The sequence below is a fragment of the Homo sapiens genome, chromosome 14 (assembly GCF_000001405.40).
Source record: "Homo sapiens chromosome 14, GRCh38.p14 Primary Assembly".
Lineage (NCBI taxonomy): Eukaryota > Metazoa > Chordata > Mammalia > Primates > Hominidae > Homo > Homo sapiens.
In genome coordinates this window covers 41674210-41699330 of record NC_000014.9, presented here as the reverse complement: position 1 = coordinate 41699330, position 25121 = coordinate 41674210, and the positions used below count along the sequence as shown (strand labels likewise).

General features: G+C 37.2%; 1 protein-coding gene across 6 annotated transcripts in view; it reads right to left on the bottom strand.

The window, feature by feature from the left end:
* LRFN5 (leucine rich repeat and fibronectin type III domain containing 5) overlaps nucleotides 1-25121 on the bottom strand; it is a 297674-nt gene that overhangs the window by 205219 nt on the left and 67334 nt on the right. The window lies entirely within an intron of this gene.

Below are 25121 nucleotides of genomic sequence, written 5' to 3'. Positions count from 1 at the left end.
TGCACTACTTTTAGCGATAACTAGGTTCCAGCTCCTTGCTGCGGTAAGTGTGGACCCACAGAAAAAGCATTTCATCACCTAGAACCTTATTTAAATAGCAGAATTTCATAACCTACCCCAGAGACATACAAGGTAAGAATATTCATTTTAATAAAAATCTCCAGGCGATTCCTCTGTACGTTAATGTTCGAGAAGCACTGATCATGTTCTTCTCACTTTTGTAGTGGTAAAAATGAAAAAAAATTCTACAAGTCTGTCATGTACTTTGCCTGTTTTGTCTTTTCTCAAACTCATCTCAACTTACACTCTCATAAATTTATTGGCTTATCTATTTTTATTTCTGCAAACCAGTTTTGATTGCTTTTCTGTTTCTGATATAATTAAATTTTCTGATCACTACTGCTCACTCAATTTCTGAACAGTTACAGTCAGCACATTTTCTTACCATACACAAATTAATCCTATACCAATGATTACCACCCATTATTATATTTTGCCAAGTATCTCCTAAATTACAATCCATAGACAGAAAAATCACATAATTTTAGAACTGAAAGAGCATATTTGCTAAATATAATTTTAAAATATACAAAAATAAAATTGATTTATAGGGAATAAATGAATTAACTCTCAAAGAAACAACAAAGACTAGAATCCAGTCTCTAAAATCCTCACCATTTCTTAGTAATTGTGTAGTTTTGCTTTGTTCTCTTCCATGTGCCTACAGCACTGGATCTCAACCTTGGCTGCACAAGAGAACCACCTAGGGAGCTTTAAACATATAGATACCCGAGTGCCAAACCCACAGGCTCCAATTTAGTCTAGGGTATGGCCCAGGCAATGGTATTTCTAAAGGCTCCCCAGATGATACTAATATGCAAATAAGGTAGAGAACCAGTGTTCCATACATTGCTCAAATTCAATGTGCAAAAAACATCATTTGGCAATTATTTAATGTAAAATCTGATATAGTAGGCCTGGAGCAGTGCCTAAATTTTCACATTTTAAACAGGCTCCTAGAGAAAGTGAATGCTGCTTGTTCTAGGACCGCACTTCAATAATAAGAAGGCTTTATCATATTTGATAATATAAACCATCTAGTCCAGGAGGAAGGATTTCTGGATGTAATATATCCAGGTTCTCCTGTAATCTTTGATTCCTTCCCTATATTTTTATAGGAATTTGTTGCTTTACACATTTCTTAAATTTGTCCAGCACCTAAGTGTAAATCTATAGCCCTTCCCTTTTTAAAACAAAATGTTTACAACTATCCCCTTCATGTGCAGGATTCTGTTCAATTTTTCCCCTAGTCTCTATAATTCCTAGGATAGCAACATCTCAAACTATTAATTGTACCAATCTCCTGACTGATTTCTCTACCTCATCCCTTGCCTTCATCAGTGACATAGCCTACTTCTTCTATAACTCTCATATTTTTTAATTTCTAAAAATATTTTAATAACTCACTATATCTATGATATAAAATAAAATTGGATGAATACATTATCAACTACATAAAATGTAAACACACCATTATTTCATTTAAAATACAAAGACATTCTTTTAAAAACTAGTATATGCTATTTGTAATAGTCATATCTTAAGTAGGAGGACATAGGAATGTTGAAAATAAATAGATGGAAACAAGAAACTCTCCTATCAAAAAAAAAAAAAGAGCAGTGAAGCTATATTCATATTAGTTAATACAGTTTAATACAAAACTCTTAATAAAAAGGTAGACTTAATATGGACAAGTCAATCCACATGAAAGATATTAAAATTAACAAAATCTCTGTTTTAAATAAGACAGTCTCAAGATATTTAATCAAAAATTGACCAAACTCGAAGAAATAGACAAATCCATGATTATGATGGCATATTTTAACACATGTCTAACAGTAATTATAAAGTACTGAAACAAAATTATTAAACTAACTTCCACTTCTGATTTGAATAATTTTTAAAAGATTATTGATTTGTAAAGCAAACATAGTAACAATGTATTATTTTTGAAACAAAAGAAATTAAAAAATTAAAAAGCAAAATTTAATTTCTTCAAAATATTAATGCAATTGATAAACCTCAAGCAAGGATAGAAAAATCTTCCTACAAATAAAATTCTATGCCCAGATGGCTTCATATGTGAATTTATCAAACCTATCTATAAGAAAGAAATAATAACGATGTCTATAAAAATTATATTAGAAAATACTGAAGAAAAATAATACTTAACAAGTTTTAGGAGGTTATCATAACTCTCATACCAAAACCTAATAAGAATACTACTAATATCAAAAGTGCAGATTAACAATTGAAAGATACAAAAACTGTGTACACAGTATTAATATGTTGAATCCAATAATATCACTATTTGTGGTTTACTCCAGGATTCAAGGTAGGCATGTCATTAGAAAACAAATAATCTGATTAGACTATGGACAATGTGGTGAACACTTTTCAGAATTTCACATACAAATGGCCTACAGGTTCATGAAACATGCCTGGCATCATTAGTCACTAGAGAAATGCAAACTGAAGCCACGATGAGACGTCACCTCATACCAGTTAGAATGGCTTTTCTCAAAAAGATGAAAGATAACAAGTGTTGGCAAGGAGGCAGGAAAAATGGACTCCTTGTACACTGTTAGTGGGAATATAAGTTAGTTAGTCCATTGTGGAAAATGTTATGGAGGTCCCCCAAAAACTAACCTTAGAACTACTATATAATCCAGCAATTGCTCTTCTGAGAATATATCCAAATGAATAGATATCAACAGATTGTGATGTCTGCAGAATGATCAGGGAGGTAGCTGCTGAAGGGTAAAGTGACTGTGGCAATTTCTTAAACTTAGACAATAATGCCGCATCATTTGGCTCTATACGAATATACAAAATATTTCTCTGTAATATGTGATGCTGCTTAATAAAATTTTACCAACAGAACTTCTTTCAAAGTTGGAATCAATCCTCTCAAACCTTGCCACTGTTTAATCAAATAAGTTTATGTAACATTCTGTATCCACTGTCATTTCAACAATGTTCACAGCATCTTCATCAGGAGTACTTTTCATCTGAAAAGACTACATTCTTTGCTCATCCATAAGAAGCAGCCCCTCATCCATTCAAGTTTTATCATGAGATCGCAGCAATTTAGTCACATCTTCAGGCTCCACTTCTATTTTTAGTTCTCCTGCTATTTCTTTCACATCTTCAGTTACTTCCTCCACTGAAGTCTTGAACCCCTCAAAGTTGTCCATGAAAGTTGGAATCAAACTTCCAAATGTCTGTCAAAGTTATATTTTGGCCTCCTTCAGTGAATCATTAATGTTCTTAATGACATCTAGAAGGGTTAATCTTTTCCAGAAGCTTTTTAATTTACTTTGCCCAGATCCCTCAGAGAAATCACTATCAATGGCAGCAACAGTCTTATGAAATACAGTTCTTAAATAATAAGACAAAGTTTGAAAGTACTTGTTGATCCATGAATTGCATGTTGTTGTTAGCAGGCATGGAAATCACATTAATCTCCTCGTACATCTCTATCAGAGCTCTTGGGTGACTAGGTAATACTGTCAATGAGCAGTAATATTTTGAAAGGAATCCTTTTTCCTGAGCAGTAGGTGTGAATATTGGGCTTAAAATATTCAGTAAACCATGCTTAAACAAATGTGATATAATCCAGGCTTTGTCGTTCCATTTATAGAGCATAGGCAGAGTAGATATAGCATAATTCTTAATGGCTTTAGGATTTGCAGAATGATAGCTAAGCACTGGCTTCAACTTCCAAGTCACCAGCTGCATTAGCTCTCAATAAGAGATTCAGCCTGTTCTTTGAAAAACTGAAGGCCAGCATTGACTTCTCCTCTTTAGCTATGAAAGTCCTAGATGGCCTCTTTTTCCAATAGAAGGTAGTTTTGTCTATATTGAAAATCTGCTATTTAGTGTAGCCACTTTAATTCAATATCTTGTCCAGGTCTTCTGCATAACTTGTTGCAGCTTTTACAACAAGACTTTCTGCTTCATCTTGCACTTTTATGTTATGGAGACACCTTCTTTCTATAAGTCTCATGAACAAATCTCTGCTAGCTTCAAACTTCTCTTCTGCAGCCTCTTTACCTCTCTCAGTCTTCATAGAATTGACATGAGTTAGGGCTTTGCTCTGGATTAGACTTTGGCTTAACAATGTGCTGTGGCTGGTTTCATTTTCTGTCTGAACTGCTAAAAGTTTCTCCATATCAGCAATATGGTTGTTGTGCTTTCTTATTATTTGTGTGTTCAAAAGAGTAGCACTTTTAATTTCCTTCAATAACTTTTGTATTTACAACTGAGCTGTTTGGTGCAAGAAGTCTAGCTCTTGGCCTATCTCAGCTTTCAACATGCCTTTTTTACTAAGCTTAATCATGTCTAGTTTTTGATTTATACTGAGAGACATTGGACTTTTCTCTCGTTCAAACACTTAGTGGCCATTGTAGAGTTATTAATTGGCCTTATCTTGTATGGGAATGTTTTTTGGTCCCCCAAAATAATTACATAGTAACACCAAATATCATTGACCACAGATCCCCATAACAGATACAATAATAATGAAATATTTGAAATATTGTATGAATTACCAAAATGTGACACAGAGACATGAAGTGAACACATACTGTTGGAAAAAATGGCACTAATAGACTTGCCTGACACAGAGTTGCCACAAACCTTCAATTTATAAAAAAGAATATCTGTGAAACACAGCAAAATGAAATGTAACACATACAAGGAATGCCCATATACAGAAAAGAATATCACTCAGTCTTAAAAAAGAACAAAATATTGTTATTTGGGATACCATGGATGAATCTAGAGAACACTATGCATAGTGAAATAAGGAAGGCACAGAAAGACAAATACTGCACGATTTGTAGAATTTATATATAGTATCAAAAAGAGTAGGATTCATAGAAAGAGAGGGTAGAATTATGGTTACTAGAGGATGAAGGATTGGTAAGCAACGTACTGAGGAGTTATTGGTCAAAAGATACGAAGTTTCAGCTAGATAGAAGGAATAAGTTTTGAGATTTGCACAGCAGTGTGAGTACATTCAATGATAATGTACTGTATAATTCAGAATAACTAACAGAGTAAATTTCAAATGTATCTCCACAAAAAAAATCAAGTAAATGAGATGATGTATATGTTCATAGCTTTTATTTAACCACTCCACATTGTACACATATGTAAAACATTAAATTAAACTACATAAATGTCAATTAAAATAATAAAATTGGTATATTTCATGGTATTAATAAGCAAAAAACATATACAAACATTTCAATAGCTGCAGAAAAATAATTGCCAAAATCAAGACTCAAACATGAAAGAATCTCTCAGCAACTACTATTTATAGAAAATCCTTAAGTCTGGTAAAGGGCATTGAAGTGGTCTGCAACTCATAAAGGGCTAACATTAAACCAATGGAGGACACTGAACGCTTTCTCCCTAAGATGTAAACAAAGCGAGCATTTATTCTTTCTGTTTTTAATCAACAGTATATGGAGTCTAAGCAAGAATAATGAAGCAAGAAAAAGAAAAGTTATAAAGATCAGAAAAGAAGAAAAAAGTTATTATTCTCAGAAAACATGACAATGGCATTCAAAAAATCCTTTATGAAGCCTATCAAAAAATCACAGAATACAAAGTTAATATGTAAAAGCCAACAACATTTCAATACATGTTAAAGGAACAATTGGAAGATGAAATTTAAATATAAATTCAATAACAGCAAAGAAAAATTAAATTTCTACAAAAAAACTAATAAAATATATACAAAACCACCACATTCAAACGTCCAAAACATTGTTGAGAAAAAATAAAACACACCTAATTAAATGGAGAAACATAACATGTATTTTGGAGTTTACAAAACACGTTGAGTAAAATACGTGTCAATGAAAGGTCCCATAATAAAAGCAAATGGAAGACTCTATATTGTTAAAGTACGTTTTAAAGTATCTTTTATGCCAACAACAATTTATAACTTCAATGCAATCTTAATCAAAATTCAGGCAGGGTTTATTATAGAAACTGCCACACTGATTTTTCATAAGTTATATTGAAATGCAAATGACCTAAAAGACACAGAACAACTTCCAAAAATATTTAAACATTATTTAAAACACTTGCACTACTTGATTTCAAGACTTGCTCTACACTTAAATAATCAAGATTGTATAGTGTTTGAATAAGAATATAAAAATTCATCAGTGAAATAGGAAATGAAGTCCACAAATAAATGCACACACATATAGTTAATTGATACTTAACAAAGTTAAAAAAGCAACTGAATGAGGAAATAAAATTTATATGACATATATTGATGGTTCCAATGGATATCTACAGGAAAAAAAAGTAAACTTTAACCTGTAGATAACTCTATACAGAGAAGCTTGTTTGATGTATATCATAGAACTAAACATGAAAGCTACAATGATAATGATTATAGAAGAAAAAAAAATTGAAGAGCTTTGCCATTTTAGAAATAGACAAATATTTCTTAAAGAGAAGACAAAAAACACAATTCACACTGTAAAAGAAAAATCTGATACACTGTCTTTACCAAGTTAAAAACATAGGCTTTTCAAACCATCATTCTCAGCAAATTATCGCAAGGACAAAAAACCAAACACCGCATGTTCTCACTCATAGGTGGGAATTGAACAATGAGAACCCTTGGACACAGGAAGGGGAACATCACACACTGGGGCCTGTTGTGGTGTGGGGGAAGTTAGGAGGGATAGCATTAGGAGATATACCTAATGTAAATGACGAGTTTAATGGGTGCAGTACACCAACATGGCACATGTATACACATGTAACAAACCTGCATGTTTTGCACATGTACCCTAGAACTTAAAGTATAATAATAAAAAAAAGAAAATTAAAAGGGTAGTAACCATTTAGAAGAAAATATCTACTGTATATATCTTTAATGAGGAGTACATATCCAGAATCTATAAAGGACTCACATAAAGCTACAATAAAAATTAACAAAAAAAAGACAGCATTTATTCCAAGAACAGCTAAAATTTAAAGAAAAATAATGACAAATAGTTACAAATATTGGCAATGATGTGGAGCAAATAACACTTTTGTACAAGTTGGGAGTGTAAAGTGGCACAAGTACTTTGAAAAATGATTACCAGTTTCTTACAAATTTTAATATACATCTACCCTATATTCAACATTTCTATTCCCAGATGTTTGCCCAATACAACTGAAAACATATATACATCTAAAGATTGGAGAAAATATGTTCACATCAATCTTACCCACAAGAAGCCTTTCTTGAAAAATAACACAAATATCCATTGACAAAATAATGGGTAAAGAAATTGTGGTATAAGAACACCATGGAAAATTACCTAGCAATGAAAAGGAGCAAAATACTGATATATACACTAATATTGATGAAACTCAAAAAGGTTGATGATTATTCATATGAAATTCAAAAATAGGCAGAAACAAGCAAAACTAATCCACAGTGTTAGACATCAGAAAGTATTAGTCTCTGGGAATAGTAAGGAATGGGGATAATCTGGAAAGTGGAATAAGGAAAATGAAAATATGAAATTGTTCTATATGTTGTATAGTGTGGTGGTTAAATAAAGTACACAATTGTTAAAAAATCGCCAAACTCATCATTTAAGATCTATGTATTTTAATGTCTATAAAATATAACCAAAAATTTTAAATGTTACGTATAAATTGTATATGTATATGTATATATATGTATATGCACAATTGCACCAATAACATAAACATTCTTTTCAAATACATATGGGAAGTTTAGCAAGGTTGACCAGTGATGGGCTTCTAAATATCATTAAGCATTGAAATCATAAAGAGTTTGTTTTCTGACAACTGTAAAGTTGAGTTAGAAATAATAACAGACAACTAAAAGTTCCAAATATACATGTATATAATTCATAGGTAAAATGTGATAGCTTGATGAAAGTTAGAAAATATTTTGACATGAATCCTGATGAAAATTTAAATTATAAGGAATAGATGTAAATTAATTGTATGAGGAAGTTTGTAGCTTAAAAGCACATGTCAGAACAGAAAAATGATTTTTAAAAATCAATTATTTAAGTATAGAGCTGAAAAAAATGTTCAGAGTAAATTAAGCCTAAAATGAGGCAGAAGAAAGTGCATAAATAATAATGACAAAATTTAATACAATCAAAAATAAATGCTCAACAGAGAAAACAGCAAACTCAAAATCTGTCTCTATAAACAGACATAAAATTGATTAAATGCCTAAAACATAGGAAGAATAAAAGAGAAACAGTATAAGTGTTTCTCTTTTATTCTGTGTCAGGAATGAAAATTGGCTTATCACTAATAAGCCTAAAAATATTAAAAATATAAACAAGAGTTCACACAAAATATGAGCAATCAAATGAAAAAGATAAAATGTTTAAATAATAAAACTTACGAAGTTTGATATAAGGGTAAATAAACAATCTGAATGTCTTTTATTTATTTTTTCTCACCAAATTGCTCCGGTTATAATCTCCAATACAGTGCTAAATTAAAGAGAAAGAGTGGACTTTTCAATATTTTACCTGATTTGTAGGGAAACTATTCTTTCACCAAAAGATATAAATTTAGCTGTGGGTTTTTCATAGATGTCCTTTATTAAGTTAAGCAAATTCCCTTCTATTATTTATTTGGTGAAGGTCTTTATCCTTAAAGGACATTAAATTTATGCTAATTTCTTTTCACTTTTTTTGAGACAGAGTGTTGCTTTGTCACCTAGGCTGGAGTGCAGTAGTGAGATCTCAGCTCACTGCAACCTCCACCTCCCAAGGGCGCAAGTGATTTTCATGCCTCAGCCTCTTGAGTAGCTGCGACTACAGGTGCACACCACCATGCCCGGCTAATTTTGTATTTTTAGTAGAGATGATGTTTCATCATGTTAGCCAGGCTGATCTTGAACTCCTGGCCTCAAGAGATCCACCCATCTTGGCGTCCCAAAGTGCTGGGATTAATTCCAGGGGTGAGCCACTGCACCTGGCCAAAATGTTTATTTCTTTATTTACTTTTGTATTTATTGAGATGGCCTTTTTTTTCTTTTAATTATACATGCCTATGATGAATAGGACTTGGTTATGAAGTACAAACTTTTTAAAAATATTGCTACATTTGGTTTGCAAGTACTGTGTTCAAGGTTTTGGCATCTGTATTCATAAAGGAGAGTTTAAAATTTATTTACTTGTAATGTTTTTGTTTGGTTTTGGTATGAGGGTAATTCTGGCATCCTATTTTGAAAAGAGAGTTTGTAAAAAGTTAGCATTCATAATTCTTTCAATGTTTTTCATAGTTCAAAAGTGTATTATTAGGGACCTAGCCCTTTTTGGTGGGTAATTTTTTTTTTTTTTTTTTTTTTTTTGAGACGGAGTCTCGCTCTGTGGCCCAGGTGGAAGTGCAGTGGCGCAATCTCGGCTCACTGCAAGCTCCGCCTCCCGGGTTCACGCCATTCTCCTGCCTCAGCCTCCCGAGTAGCTGGGACTACAGGCGCCCGCCATCACGCCCGGCTAATTTTTTTGTATTTTTAGTAGAGACGGGGTTTCACCGTGTTAGCCAGGATGGTCTCGATCTCCTGACCTCGTGATCCGCCCGCCTCGGCCTCCCAAAGTGCTGGGATTACAAGCGTGAGCCACCGCGCCCGGCCAGTAATTTTTAAAATACTAATTTTATCATTGTACTTGTTATAACCTTAATTAGACTTTATTTCATCCTGAGTCAATTTTAATAATTTTTGTCTTTCTAGGAATTTATTTATTTCATCTAAGTCATTTAATTTGTTTGCATAAGCTTTTAATAGCATTCTTTTAAAAAAATTTCTGTAAGATCAGTAGTGATTTTCTCTCTTTTGTTTCTGTTTTTCTGTAATCAAAGTCATGTTTTCTTTTTATTGGTCAATAAAGTGAAAGATTAGTCAATGTTGTTAATCTTTTCGAAGAACCAAATTTTGGTTTTGTTGTGTTTGTCTATCGTTTTTCTGTTTTCTATTTCATTTATTTATACTTTGCTTTCCGTATGACTTTCCAACTATTTGCCGTGTTCAATATTCTCTTCTCTTTTCTAGCTCCTTAAGGAATAAATTTAAGTTATTGATTGGAGAGCTTTCTTCTTTTTAAAATTCATTATCATTATCATCATCATTTATTATTTATTATTATTATTTTAGAGATGGGTTCTCACTCTGTTGCCCAAACTGCAGTGCAGTGGTGAGATCTCAGCTCGCTGTAGCCTCAACCTCCCAGGGTCAAGTGATCCTCCCACCTCAGCCTCCTAAGTAGCTGGGACTCCAACTACAGTCATACACCCCAACACCCAGCTTTTTTCTTTTTCCTTTTTTTTTTTTTTTTTTGGTAGAAATAGGGTCTCACCATGCTGCCCAAAATGGTGCTTGAACTGCTGGCCTCAAGAGATCCTTCTGCCTCGGTCACTGACAGTGCTGAGATTTCAGACATAAGTCACTGTGCTTGGCTTCTTTAAATGTAGGCATTTCCAGGTCTACATTGACCTCTGAGCATTGTGCACTGCTTTAGCTGCATCTCATAAATTTTGGTATCTCATGGTTTTTTTTGTTTTGTTTTGTTTTGTTTTTTTTCCCATTGATCTCGAATTATATCCTAATTTTCCTCATTTTTTTTCTTTGACCCACTGGTAATTTAGAATTGTTTGGTTTAAATTTGTGTATTTGAACTTCACAAATTTCTTCCAGTTGATCATTTATCATTTAATTACATTGTTATTAGGAAAGATATTTTGTAGAACTTCAATCCTTTTAAATTTACTAATTTATTTTTAAATTTTTTATTTTTAATTTTTGTGGTGGATATGTTTATGGGGTACATGACATATTTTGATACAGGCATACAATATATAATAATCACATCAGGGTAAATAAGGTATCCAGCACCTCGAGCATTTTTCCTTTCTTTATGTTTCAGACAATCCAACTATACTCTCTTAGTTGTTTTTAAACGTACAATAAATTATTATTGACTATAGTCACCCCATTATGCTATCAAACAGTAGATCTTATTCTATCTAATTATATTTTTGTATCCATAAAGCATCCCCGCATACCCACCCACCAACTACCTTTCCCAGGCTCTGGTAACCATTATTCTACTGGCTATCTCCATGTGCTCAACTGTTAATTTTTAGCTCTCACAAATAAGTGAAGAAATGTAAAGTTTGTCTTTTTGTGCCTGGTTTACCACACTTAACATAATAATCTTCAGGTCCATCCATGTTGTTGCTGACAAGATCTCATTATTTTTAAAAGCTAAATAGTACAAGCTTTTCTTTTTTTATTGTTTTTATTTATTTCTTCTAAAAAAGGGGGATACATGTACAGATAGTGCAGGTTCTTTACATAGGTATACGTGTGCTCTAGTGGTTTGCTGCATCTATTAACCATCCTCTAAGTTCCCTCTGTTCAAACCCCAACCCCCAGCAGGCCATAGACTGTGTTGTTCCCCTCTCTGTGTCCATGTGTTATGAGTGAGAACATGTGGTGTTAGGTTTTCTGTTCCTTTGTTAGTTTGCTGAGGATGATGACTTCCAGCTTCATCCATGTCCCTGCAAAGGACATGATCTCATTGCTTTCTATGGCTGCATAGTATTCCATGGTGTATATGTAGCACATGTTCTTTACCCAGTCTATCATTGATGGACATTTGAGTTGGTTCCATATCTTCGCTATTGTAAATAATGCTGCAATAAACACATGTGTGCGTGTGTCTTTATAGTAGAATGATTTACATTCCCTTGGGTGTATACCAAGTAATGAGATTGCTGGATCAAATGGTATTTCTGGTTCTAGATCCTTGAGGAATCGCATTACTGTCTTCCACAGTGGTTGAACTAATTTACTTTACCACCAACAGTGTAAAAGTGTTCTTATTTCTCCACAGCCTCACCAGCATCTATTGTTTCCTAATTTTTTAATAATTGCCGTTCTGACTGTAGTGAAATGGTATCTCATTGTGGTTTTGATTTACCTTTCTCTGATGATCAGTGATGTTGAGCTTTTATTCATGTGGTTGTTGGCTGCATAAATGTCTTCTTTTGAGAAGTGTCTGTTCATATCCTTTGACCATTTTTGATGTTTTTTTATTGTAAATATGTTTAAGCCCCTTGTAAAGTATAAATATTAGACCTTTGTCAGATAGGTACATTGAAAAAAATTTCTCCCATTCTGTAGGTTGCCTGTTCACTCTCATGTGCTGGTAACTTTCCTTCTGAAACTATTCCAAACAATTGGAAAGGAGGGGCTCCTCCCTAACTCATTTTATGAAACCAGTATCATCCTGATACAAAAACTGGGAAGAGACACAACAAAAAAAGAAAACTTCAGGCCAATATCCCTGATGAACTTTGATGGGACAATCCTCACTAAAATACTGGCAAACTGAATCTAGCAGCACATCAAAAAACTTATCCCCATGATCAAGTCAGCTTCATCCCTGGGATGCAAGACTGCTTCAACATATGCACATCATTAAATGTAATCCATCACACAAACAGAATCAATGACAAAAATCACATTATTATCTCGGTAGATGCAGAAAATGCCTTTGATAAAATTCAACATCCGTTCATGTTAAAAACTCTCAATAAAGTAGGTATTCATGGAACATATCTTAATATAATAACTGTGACAAACCCACAGCCAATATCATATTGAATAGGCAAAAGTGGGAAGCATTCCCTTTGAAAACTGGTACAAGACAAGGATGCCCTCTCTCACCACTCCTATTCAACATAGTATTAGAAGTTCTGGCCAGGGCAATCAGGAAAGAGAAAGAAATAAAGGGTATTCAAATAGGAATAGAGGAAGTCAAGCTTTCTCTGTTTGCAGATTACAATATTTTATATTTAGAAAACCCCATCGTATCAGCCCCAGAACTTCTTGAACTGATAAGCAACTTCAGCAAAGTCTCAGGATACAGAATCAATGTGCAAAAATCACAAGCATTCCTTTACACCAACAATATGCAAGCAGAGAGGCAAACCATGAATGAACTCCCGTTTACAATTGCTACAAAGAGAATAAAATACCTAGGAATACAGCTAACGGGGGATGTGAAGGGCCTCTTCAAGGAGAACTACAAACGCCTGCTCAAGGAAATAAGAGCGGACACAAACAAATGCAAAAATATTCCATCCTCATGTCTAGGACGAATCAATGTCATGAAAATGGCCATACTGCCCAAAGCGATTTATAGATTCCATGCTATTTCCATAAAACTACCATTGATATTCTTCACAGAATTAGAAAAAACTATTTTAAATTTCGTATGGAATCAAAGAGGACCCCATATAGCCAGGACAATCCTAAGCAAAAAGAACAAAACTGGACGCATCACACTACCTGACTTTGAACTATACTACAAGGCTACAGTAACCAAGACAGCATGGTAGTGGTACCAAAAACAGATATATGGACTAATGAAGCCGTACAGAAACCTCAGAAATAACACCACACATCTACAACCATCTGATCTTTGACAAATCTGACAAAAACAAGCAATGGGGAAAAGCCCTTTTATTCAGTAAATGGTGCTGGAAAAACTGGCTAGCCATATGCAGAAAACTGAAACTGGACCCCTTCCTTACAGCTTATACAAAAATTAACCCAAGAGGGATTAGAGACCTGTATGTAAAACCCCAAATCATAAAAACCTTAGAAGAAAACCTAGGCAATACCATTCAGGACATAAGCATGGGCAAAGATTTCATGACAAAAATGTCAAAAGCAGTTGCCAAAAAGCCAAAATTGACAGATAGGATCTAATTAAACTGAAGAGCTTCTGCACAGCAAAAGCAACACATTTTTCTCTATCTGTTTGTCTGGTAATAGGCATGTGGGTTTCTTTAAAATCTTGGTTATTGTGAACAGCGCTTCAATAAATATGGGGGTACAGGTATCTCTTCAAAAAAAACTGATTTCCTTTCTTTTGTGTATATAACTACCAATGAGATTGCCAGATAATATAGTAGTTCTATTTTTAGTTTTTTTGGGGAACCTCCATACTGTTCTCCAGGACTTGTGCTAATTTACCTTCCCAACAACAGCATATGGAGGGTTCCCTTCTCTCTACATCCTCACTACATTTGTTATTGCCTTTTGGATAAAAAGCATTTTAACTTGCACAAGATAGTATCTCATTGTAGTTCTGATTTGCATTTCCCCAGTGATTAATAATGCCTAGCACCTTTTCACATACCAGTTTGCTATTTGTATGTCTTTCTTTGAAAAATATTTATTCAGGACTTTTGCCCATTTTTAAATCAGGTTTTAGATATTTTCCTATAGAGTCCTTTGGGCTTCTTACATATTCTGGTTATTAATGTCTTGTCAGATGGATAGTTTGCAAACATTTTCTCACATTCCCTGGATTACCACTTCACTTTGTTGACTGTTTCCTTCACTGTGCAGAAGGTTTTTAACTCACTGTGATCTCACTTGACAATTTTTCCTTTGGTTGCCTGCGCTTGTGGAGTATTACTCAAAATACCTTTGCCCATTCCGATGTCCTACAGTTTTATTTTACTAGTTCCATTGTTTTACGTTTTAAATTTAAGTTTTTAACCCATTTTTATTTGATTTTTCTGTATGGCAAGTGATATGGTTTGGCTGTGTCCTCACCCAAAATCTCATTTTGAATTGTAATCCCCATAATCCCCACATGTTAAAGGAGAGACCACGTGGAGGTAACTCAATTATGGCGGTGGTTTCCCACATGCTGTCTTGTGATAGTGAGGTTTCACAGGATCTGACAGTTGTATAAGAGTTTGGTAGTTCCTCCTGTGTTCATTCTCCTTCCTGCTGCCTTATAAAGAAGGCGCCTTACTTCCCCTTTGCTGTCCACCATAATCGTAAGTTTCCTGAGGACTTCCCAGCCATGCTGAACTGTGTGTCAGTTAAACCTCTTTCTTTTATAAATTATCCAGTCTTTTACAGCTCTTTATAGCGGTGTGAAAATGGAATAATACAGCAAGAGATAGGGGTCTACTTTCACTTTTCTGTATACGGATACCCAGGTTTCCAGGCAACATTTATTGAAAAGACTGTCCTTTCCTCATTGTATGTTCCTGGCACCTTGGTCGAAAATAGTTCACTGTAGATGTATGAAATTGTTTCTGGATTCTCTATTCTGTTCCATTGCTTTATGTCTCTGCACTATGTTGTGTGGGATACTATAGCTGTGTAGTATAATTTGAAGTCAAGTAATATGATTCCACCAGTTTTATTCTTTCTGTTCATGACAGCTTTGGATATTCTGGGTCTTCTGAGGTTCCACATAATTTTGGGGATTGTTTTTTCTATTTCTGTGAAGAATAACATTGGTATTTTGATTGGGATTGCACTGAATCTATAGATTACCTTGGGCAGTATGGACATTTTAATAATACTGATTCTTCACATCTATGAGCAGAGAATATCTCTCTATTTTTGTATATCTTCTTCAGTTTCATTAATCAATGTTTTATAGTTTTAATTGTAAAGGTGTTTCACTTCTCTGGTTAAGTTTACTCCTAAGTATTTTATGCCATTTGTACCTATTGTAAATGAGGTTACTTTGGTGATTTTTTTTTCAGATTGTTTGCTATTGGCATATAGAAATGCTACTGATTTTCATATGATTTTGTATCCTGAAACTTTATTGAACTTGTTTATCAGTTCTAATAGTTTTTGGTGGAATCTTTAGGTTTTTCCAAATATAAGATCATATCATTTGCAAACAAAGATAGTTTGACTTATTCCTGACCTTTATATCTTCCTCTTATCTGCTCTAGATAGGACACCCCATACTATGTTGAATAACAGTAGTGAAAGTGGGTATCTTTGTCTCATTCCAGATGTTAGAAGAAATGTTTACAGTTTCCCCCACTCAGTATGATACTAGCTGTTGCTCTGCCATACCCAGCTTTTATTGTGTGGCATTATCTTCCTTCTATACTCAGTTGTTTGAGATATTTTATCATGAAGAGATGTTTAATTTTATCAAAGCCCTCTCAGCATCAATTGAAATGATCATATGGATTTTTTCCTTCATTCTATTGATACGATGTATCACATTGATTGGTGTGCAAAAGTTGAACCATCCTTGCATCCCAGGGATGACCCATTTGGTCTTACTGAATAATGTTTTTAATGTATTGTTGAATTTGATTTGCTAAAATGTTGTTGAGGATTTTCATATCAATGTTCAGTAGGAACACTGGCCTGTGTTTAATTTAATTAATTTATTTATTTACTGCTGTGTCTGTCTGGTTTTGGTATCAGGGTAATACTGGCCTCACAGAAGGAGTTTGGAAGTATTTCCACCCTCTCCATTCTTTGGAATAGTTTGAGTAGGATAAATATTAGGTCTTCTTTAAATGTCTGGGAAAATTGATTAGTGAAATTATCTGGTCCCTGGCATTTCTTTTCCAGGATACTTTTTTATTATGTCTTTAATCTTGTTACTTACTGCTCTGTTCAAGTTTTTAATTACTTCTCATTCAGGAAGAACCAGGAAGAACCTTGGTAGACTGTATGTTTCTAGGAATGTATCCATTTCTTCCAGATTCCAATTTATTGGCATATAGTTGCTCTAATAATCCTCTGAATTTTCGTTACAGTTATGCCTTCCTCTTCATCTATGATATCATTTATTTGGGTCTTATCTTTTTTTCTTATGCAGTCGAGCTAAATATTTGTCAATTGTTTGTCTTTTCAAAAAAATAACTTCATATTTTGTATTAGTTACTTTCATTTCAATTTCATTTATTTCTGCTCTGATCTTTATTATTTCATTTTTCTACTAATTTTGGCTTTGCTTTGCTTTTGTTTTTCTAGTTTTTTCCATAAAAAAATTAACTAATAAGTAAACAGATAACTAATAAAAACTCTAAACTTTAACTTTGTCCTCCCACTTTTTAATGTTTTGTTGTTTGTTTGTATCTTATTATACTGTCTATGTCTTGACAAGTCGTTGTTGTCATAATTATTATTATTATTATTATTATTTTAAGATGAAGTCTTGCTCTGTTGCCCAGACTGGAGTGTAGTGCCACGATCTTAACTCACTGCAACCTCCTTGTCATTATTTTTTATTGGTTCATTGGTTAGTCTTTTTACTTATGATAAGAGTAGGTTAGGCTGGGTGTGGTGGCTCATACCTGTAATCCCAGCATTTTGGGAGGCCAAGGCAGGCGGATCACTTGAGGTCAGGAGTTCTAGACCAGCCCGGACAATATGGTGAAACCCTGTCTCTACTAAAAGTACAAAAATTTCCAGGCATGATGGCGCACGCCTGTAATCCCAGATACTCAGGAGGCTGAGGCAGGACAATTGCTTGAATCCGGGAGGCAGAGGTTACAGAGAGCAGAGATCGGGCCACTGCACTCCAGCCTGGGCGACAGAGTGAGACTCCATCACAAAAAAAAAAAATAAATAAATAAATAAATAAATAAATAAAATAAAATAAAATAAAAGAGTAGTTTATATATCACAGTTACAGTGTTATAATATTCTGTGTTATCCTGTGTACTAACTTTTACTAGTGAGTCTTGTACCTTTAGATGATTTCTTATTGCTCATTAACATCCTTTTCTTTCAGTCTGAAGAACTCCCTTTAGCATTTCTGGTAGGACCCTTTTGTTATTTATGAAATCCCTTGGCTTTCGTTCATCTGGGAAAGTCTTTATTTCTCCCTTATATTTGATGGATATTATTGCTGGATATACTATTATAGGATAAAATGATTTTTTGTTCCGTTTGGTTTTGTTTTCCTTCAGCACTTTAAATATGTCATGCCACTCTCCCCTGGCCTATAAGGTATCCACTGAGAAGTCTGCTGTCAGAGGTAGTGGAGCTACATTTTATGTTAATTGTTTCTTTTCTCTTGTTATTTTTAAAATCTTTTCTTTATCCTTGATCTTTGGGAGTTTAATTATTAAATGTCTTAAGGTGGCTTTATTTGAATTAAATCTACTTGGTGTTCTATAACCTGCTTGTTCTTAAATATTGATATATTTCTCTAGGTTTGGGAATTTCTCCTTATTTATCCCTTTGAATAAACTTTCTACTCACATTCTTTTCTTACCTCCTCTCTAAGGCCAATAACTCTTGGATTTGCCCTTTTGAGGCTATTTTCTAATAGGTGTGCTTCATTTTTTTAATTATTTTTCTTTCCTCTCATCTGATTGTGTATTTTCAAATAGCCTGTATTCAAACTCGCTAATCCCTTCTTCTACTTGATCAATTTGGCTGTTAAGAGACTGTGACACATTCTTCATTATGTCAGTTGCATTTTTATTTCCAGAATTTCTGCTTGATTCTTTTAAATTGTTTCTATCTCTTTGTTAAATTTGTCTGATGTGATTCTAAATTGTTTCTTTTTTTTAACTTAAATTTTGTTGAGCTTCCTTGAAACAGCTAGTTTGAATTCTCTATCTGAAAGGTCACATATCTGTGTCTCTTCAGGATTGGTCCCTGGTGGTTTATTTAGTTCATTTGGTGAGGTCACGTTTTCCAGGATAATCTGGATTTCATCAGTTTCTGGAATTAAAGAGTTAAGTATTTATTATAGTCTTCACAGTCTGGGCTTGCTTGTACCTGTCCTTGGGATGGCTTTCCAGGTTTTCAAAGAGACTTGGAGGTTGTGATCCAAGCTTTTGGTCACTGCAGCTATATTTGCATTAGGGGGCACCTGAAGCTCAGCAATGCTGTGGCTCTTAAAAACTCATAGAGGGACCACCTTGGTCATCTCCGATAAGATCTGGAAGAATTCCCTTGATTACCAGGAAGATACTCTTGTTGTCTTCCCTTTCTTTCCCCCAAACACATTCTCTCTGTGTGTCTCAAGCTGCACAGAGCTGAGGGAGGAGTGACACAAGCACCCCTCTGGCCACCACCATTAGGAATGCACTGGGTCAGACCTGAAGCCATAACAACACTGGGTCTGGGCCAAAGGCTAGAGTAACCAATGCGTGGCTACCGCCTATGTTTGTTCAAGGCCATAGGTCTCTACAATCAGCAAGTGGGAAAGCCATCTGCTCTTGTGTTCTTCCATTCAGGGTGGCAAGTTCCCTTTGGTCCCAGGCAGGTCCAGAGATGTTGTCCAGAATCCAGAGCCTGGAGTTGTAAACCTTAGGGATCTACCTATTGTTCTATTCTACTGAGGCTGATCTGGCACCCAAGCCACAAGAGTGAAGTCCTTCCAACTCTTCCCTCCCCTGTCCACAAGCAGTGGGGTCTCTCCTCATGGCCGCCACCACTCCAGGCCCTCAGCCACTACTGCCTGGCTACTGATGATGTTAGTTCAAGGACCAAGTGCTCTTTAGCTAGATTTTGGTGAATGCTGCCAAACCTGGGACTTTCCCTTCAGGGGAGTGGTCTCCCCTCTGTCCCAGGGAAGGTCCAAAAATGCCATCCAAGACCCAAGGCCTGGAATCAAGGACTCCAAGTGCCTGCTTGATTCTCTACTCCATTGGTGCCGAGCTGGTACCTAAGCAGTAAGAAAAACTCCCCTTTACTCGTCCTTTCCTTTTTCTCAAACAGAAGTGTCCCTTTCCATAGCTACCACCGCTGGGAATGTGCTGGGTCACACCTGAAGCTAGCACATCCTTGAATCTCACAGAAGGCCGTAACAAGCACTACCTGGGTACCACTGCTTATTATTCAGGGCCTAAGGGCTCTTTAGTCAGCAGGTGATGAATTTTGCCAGTACTGGGCCATTCCCTTCAAAGACAACATGTTCCCTTCTGGCTCAGGATTTGTCTAGAAATGTCATCTGAGACCTAGTGTCTGGAATAGGGGTCTCAGGACTCTGCCTGATGCCTTATCTTACTGTGGCTTAGCCGGTATACAGGTTTCAAGACAAATCCTCTTTACTCTTCCCTCACTTCTCCTCAAGCAGAATGAAGGAGTCTCTCACAGAGCTGCTAGCTGTGCTGCCTGGTGTTAGGAAAGTGGTGTCATATTAACTCCCTTAGCCACCCTGGCTTGTGTTTCACTGCGTCGCATGGCTGCTAAGTCCATTGGCTTTGAGCCCAGCACAGCTCCAGAAATTGCCCAGGAATTGCAGTCCTTGTGGCCTAGACTGCCTTTCAAGTTTATTTAGAACCCAAGAGTACTTTAGTCCACAGTGGTGGGGCTTGCCAGAACTCAGGTTCCAACCCCTGGGATTGATGATTCCCCTCTGGCTAGAGAGCTGGTGTAAATACTCACTCCATGGACACCAGCTGAGTTCTGCCTGGTGTTGCATCCTGCTGTGACGGAGAAGCACTGAGTTCCAATGCAAAGTCTCATAATCACCATACTCTACCTACGCCAAGGTCACAGATTCTTTCTCTGTGCCGTGAGACTGTTGCAAGAAGATGGGGGAGGTGTGTGTAGGTGATTCAAGACTGTCTTTCTTACCCTTTCCAATGACTCTTTCAGTAATATGAAGTTAAAACCTGGTACCATGACTGCTCATATGATTTTTGGTTTTTAGAAGGTGCTTTCTTGTGTGGATAGTAGCTCAATTTAGTGTTCTTACAGGGGTCAGGGATGATTTTTGGAAGCTTCTATTCAGACATCTTGCTCTGCCTCGCTTTCCTCTTTTAAATTTATTGAGACTAGTTTATCCACCTAAGATGTTATATATACTGGGAATTGTTAATATGCACTTTAGAAGAACTTATATTCTTTCATTGTTGCGTGGCATGTTCTATAAATGTCTGTTAGGTGTAGTGGGCAAATGATATCATTCAAGTCTTTATTCCTTTGTTGATCTTTTATTGTTATATCCATTATTGAAAATGGGGTATTGAAATCCCCAACTATTATTGCTGAATTGTCTATTTCTCCCTGCAATTCTATTAGTTTTTGCTTCATAAATTTGGGCCTCTGTTGTTAGATGTATATATATTTTAATCAAATTTGAGAGGTTTTCAACCATTATTTGAATATTTTCATATATATGGCATATACATATACGGAATATATATATATGTATATGTATATGTATGTATGTATGTATGTATGCATGTATCTTCCAGGTAGAGTGATCTTTTTAACATTATAAAAAGTCCCTCAGTATTTCTAATAACATTCTTAAGTGTATTTTGTCACATATTAGTATATCCACTCTAGCTCTTTTTTAGTTGTTGTTTGCATGATATAGCTTTTCCATCCTTTCTCTTTTCACCTAATTTGAAATGTGTCTCTTATAGACAGTGTTTAGTTGAATTTTTAAGTTTTCTTTTTAAATTATCATGACAATCTCTGACAATATTTTCATTAGATTGCTTAATTCATTCACATTTAAATTTATTATCAATATAGTTGCGTTTATATTGCCATTTGGTCTTTTGTGAATTTATCATACTTAGGGTTAATTGTACTTCCTGAGTTTGTAGACTGATTTTTTAAAAATCAAATGTGAGAAGTTTCAACCATTGTTTGAATATTTTCCTATCCTACCCTCTCTCTTCTTCTTTTGATACTCACAACATATATATATTGTATGTCTAATGGTGTTTCACATTTCTTATTCAATTTTCTTTATTGATTTTATCTGTGTTCATTGGATCACATAACTATTATCTATCTCAAAGTCTGCTGATTCTCTCTTCTACAAACTCTAATCTACTGTTAAGCCCTCTAGTGAAGTTTTTGTTTTAATTATATTACATTTCAACTTCAGAATTTCCATTTGATTCTTTCAAACAAGTTGCATCTCTTTATTAATATTCTGTATTTTATGAGGCATTTCCATTATACCATCCTGTAATTTTTTAAAGCGTGTTTTTTCTTAGTTCTTTAAATATAATTATAATAGTTTCTTTGATATGTTTATTTACTAATTCCACCTTCAGAGGAAGTTTCTACTGCCTGATGTGTGTGTATGTGTGTGTGTGTGTTAGATTCTTCCTGTTCCTTTGAATGCTTTATAATTGTCTTTCTTTAAAACTTGATATTTTGCTAATAGATTGTAGTGACTCTCGTTATTCATCCCCTGCAGGTGGTAGCTGTTGTCTACTTGGCCATTTTGTTTATTTGTTTAGTTACTTGACTGAACTAATTCTCAAAGTCTATTTCCTTAACTATGTTTAGCCTCTCATATCTCTGCTAGATTTTTTTTCCCCTTGTTTTTCCCCCCTTTCTCCTTGTTTTTACTTTTTTTGCTCTGCTACCTAGGATGTGTTCCTGGATTGGCATAAGCCACTTACTGGTCAAAACTTATGTTTAATTACCAGTTATATTTTTACCTTTTGTCTCTGGATGCATGTGTGTTGTGCAGGCTGATAGCACATATCAGAAAGTTTTCATTTTCTGGTCCCACATTTGGTGAGGATCTCAAAATGTGTAGCATATTTCATCCCTCTCTCATTGCTTCCAAGAAGGTACAGCTTGAGAATGCACAGTCTTCCACATCCACAGGGATGTCTGTGATGATATTTTAAAGACTAGCTTCTCAGGAGTCACCCTTGGGGCAGAATAGCCTATTTGTACAATAATGCATGATCAGTGGTTTTAAACCCTTGAGTCAGGAAGACTTTTTGCCCCATATTTATAGGTCTTTTGTGCAGGTTGGTGGATGCTTTCGAGTCTGTTCCACATCTTTCTCTAATTGCTCTTAAGTGGATGCTGCCTAGAACATATGAACAACATTCTCCAGACCCCGAGAGTTGACTGAAAACCTAGGAGGGTTCTTCTTAGTTGTCTGTTTCCCTGGTTCTCACCACCATTGAATTTTTTGTTTCTTTGACATTTTGTTCATTATCAAAGCTTCCAGCCTCCTCTTAGTTTCTCTCAACCAAGATGCCCACTGTTCTTGACACACTCTTAGGTAAGGAGTTCTCCACTCTCTTTTGCAAAGTCAAATCCTTCAACAGTGGCTTCTGAGCTTAAGGTCTGCCTTTTTTTTCTAGGCAGAGCCATATAGGCCACTGCTGCTTTTCTCAAGGTAATACTCTTGATCCGCAGAGTGGGCACTAGCAGTGAGCACCACAAGGGGAAGTAGCCCCTGGTCTTCTCAGCTTGCTTCTTCAGAAATGTGGAACTTCTGCTGTAGAAGGTTGAGAGAGGGGAATTCAAGAGACTACATGCAAAAAGAAGATACAGTCATTGAAGGGGCATTTGCTGAAATATGGCTTCTGCAACATTTGGCAAGAGGGTGATGAGAGACACTATCAGCCTGCCCCTCCCAGGGTGAAACCATAGCCCCAGACTGGATGTAGGGAAAAGGGAGCTTTCCCTTCTTGGTTGCTCACACCCATCTGTATCATGGAGCTGCTGGTGGTGGGGTGGTAATAACGAAGCAAGTCATAAACAAAGCAGTCCCTCGCTGTTTTTATAAAGTTATTGTAGATTTTCTCAAATGAATGTTTATCTGTTTGCTGAATGCCCTTTAGGTAATTTTCACAGGCTTTAGGTGATTATCATTTTTATAATTTTCACTGGTTAAATTATTGTTTTGCTGGAGAGAGTTCTGCAAAGCTCATTATTACATTATGTTGGAAGCCAACTGATCATCATTAATATTTGTAAAGCAGAAATTTCATTTAGTCAAATGTGGGCAGGGAAATAAAGGCTTATTCATTTAGGCCCTCATATGCAATAAATACAATAAATAACAAAATCGCCTCTCCCCTCTCCCCTCTCCCCTCTCCCTCTCCCTGTCCCCTCTTTCCACGGTCTCCCTCTGATGCCAAACCGAAGCTGGACTGTACTGCTGCCATCTCGGCTCACTGCAACCTCCCTGCCTGATTCTCCTGCCTCAGCCTGCCGAGTGCCTGCGATTGCAGGCGCGCGCCGCCACGCCTGACTGGTTTTCGTAATTTTTTGGTGGAGACGGGGTTTCGCTGTGTTGGCCGGGCTGGTCTCCAGCTCCTAACAGCGAGTGATCCGCCAGCCTCGGCCTCCCGAGGTGCCGGGATTGCAGACGGAGTCTGGTTCACTCAGTGCTCAATGGTGCCCAGACTGGAGCACAGTGGCGTGATCTCGGCTGGCTACAACCTCCACCTCCCACCCGCCTGCCTTGGCCTCCCAAAGTGCCGAGATTGCAGCCTCTGCCTGGCCGCCACCCCGTCTGGGAAGTGAGGAGCGTCTCTGCCTGGCTGCCCATCGTCTGGGACGTGAGGAGCCCCTCTGCCTGGCTGCCCAGTCTGGAAAGTGAGGAGCGTCTCTGCCCCGCCGCCATCCCATCTAGGAAGTGAGGAGCGCCTCTTCCTGGCCGCCATCCCATCTAGGAAGTGAGGAGCGTCTCTGCCCGGCCGCCCATCGTCTGAGATGTGGGGAGCGACTTTGCCCTGCCGCCCCGTCTGGGATGTGAGGAGCGCCTCTACCCGGCCGCGACCCCGTCTGGGAGGTGAGGAGCGTCTCTGCCCGGCCGTTCCGTCTGAGAAGCGAGGAGACCCTCCGCCCGGCAACCGCCCCGTCTGAGAAGTGAGGAGCCCCTCCTCCCGGCAGCCGCCCCCTCTGAGAAGTGAGGAGCCTCTCCGCCCGGCAGCCACCCCGTCTGGGAAGTGAGGAGCGTCTCCGCCCGGCAGCCACCCCGTCCGGGAGGGAGGTAGGGGGGTCAGCCCCCCGCCCAGCCAGCCGTCCCATCCGGGAGGGAGGTGGGGGGATCAGCCCCCCACCTGGCCAACCGCCCCGTCCAGGAGGGAGGTGGGGGGGTCAGCCCCCTGCCCGGCCAGCCGCCCCGTCCTGGAGAGAGGTGGGGGGGTCAGCCCCCTGCCCGGCCAGCCGCCCCGTCCTGGAGAGAGGTGGAGGGGTCAGCCCCCCGCCCGGCCAGCCACCCCGTCCGGGAGGTGAGGGGCGCCTCTGCCCGGCCGCCCCTACTGGGAAGTGAGGAGCTCCTCTGCCCGGCCAGCCGCCCCGTCCGGGAGGGAGGTGGGGGGGTCAGCCCCCCGCCCGGCCAGCCGCCCCATCTGGGAGGGAGGTGGGGGGGTCGGCCCCCCGCCCGGCCAGCCGCCCCGTCCGGGAGGTGAGGGACGCCTCTGCCCGGCCGCCCCTACTGGGAAGTGAGGAGCCCCTCTGCCCGGCCAGCCGCCCCGTCCGGGAGGGAGGTGGG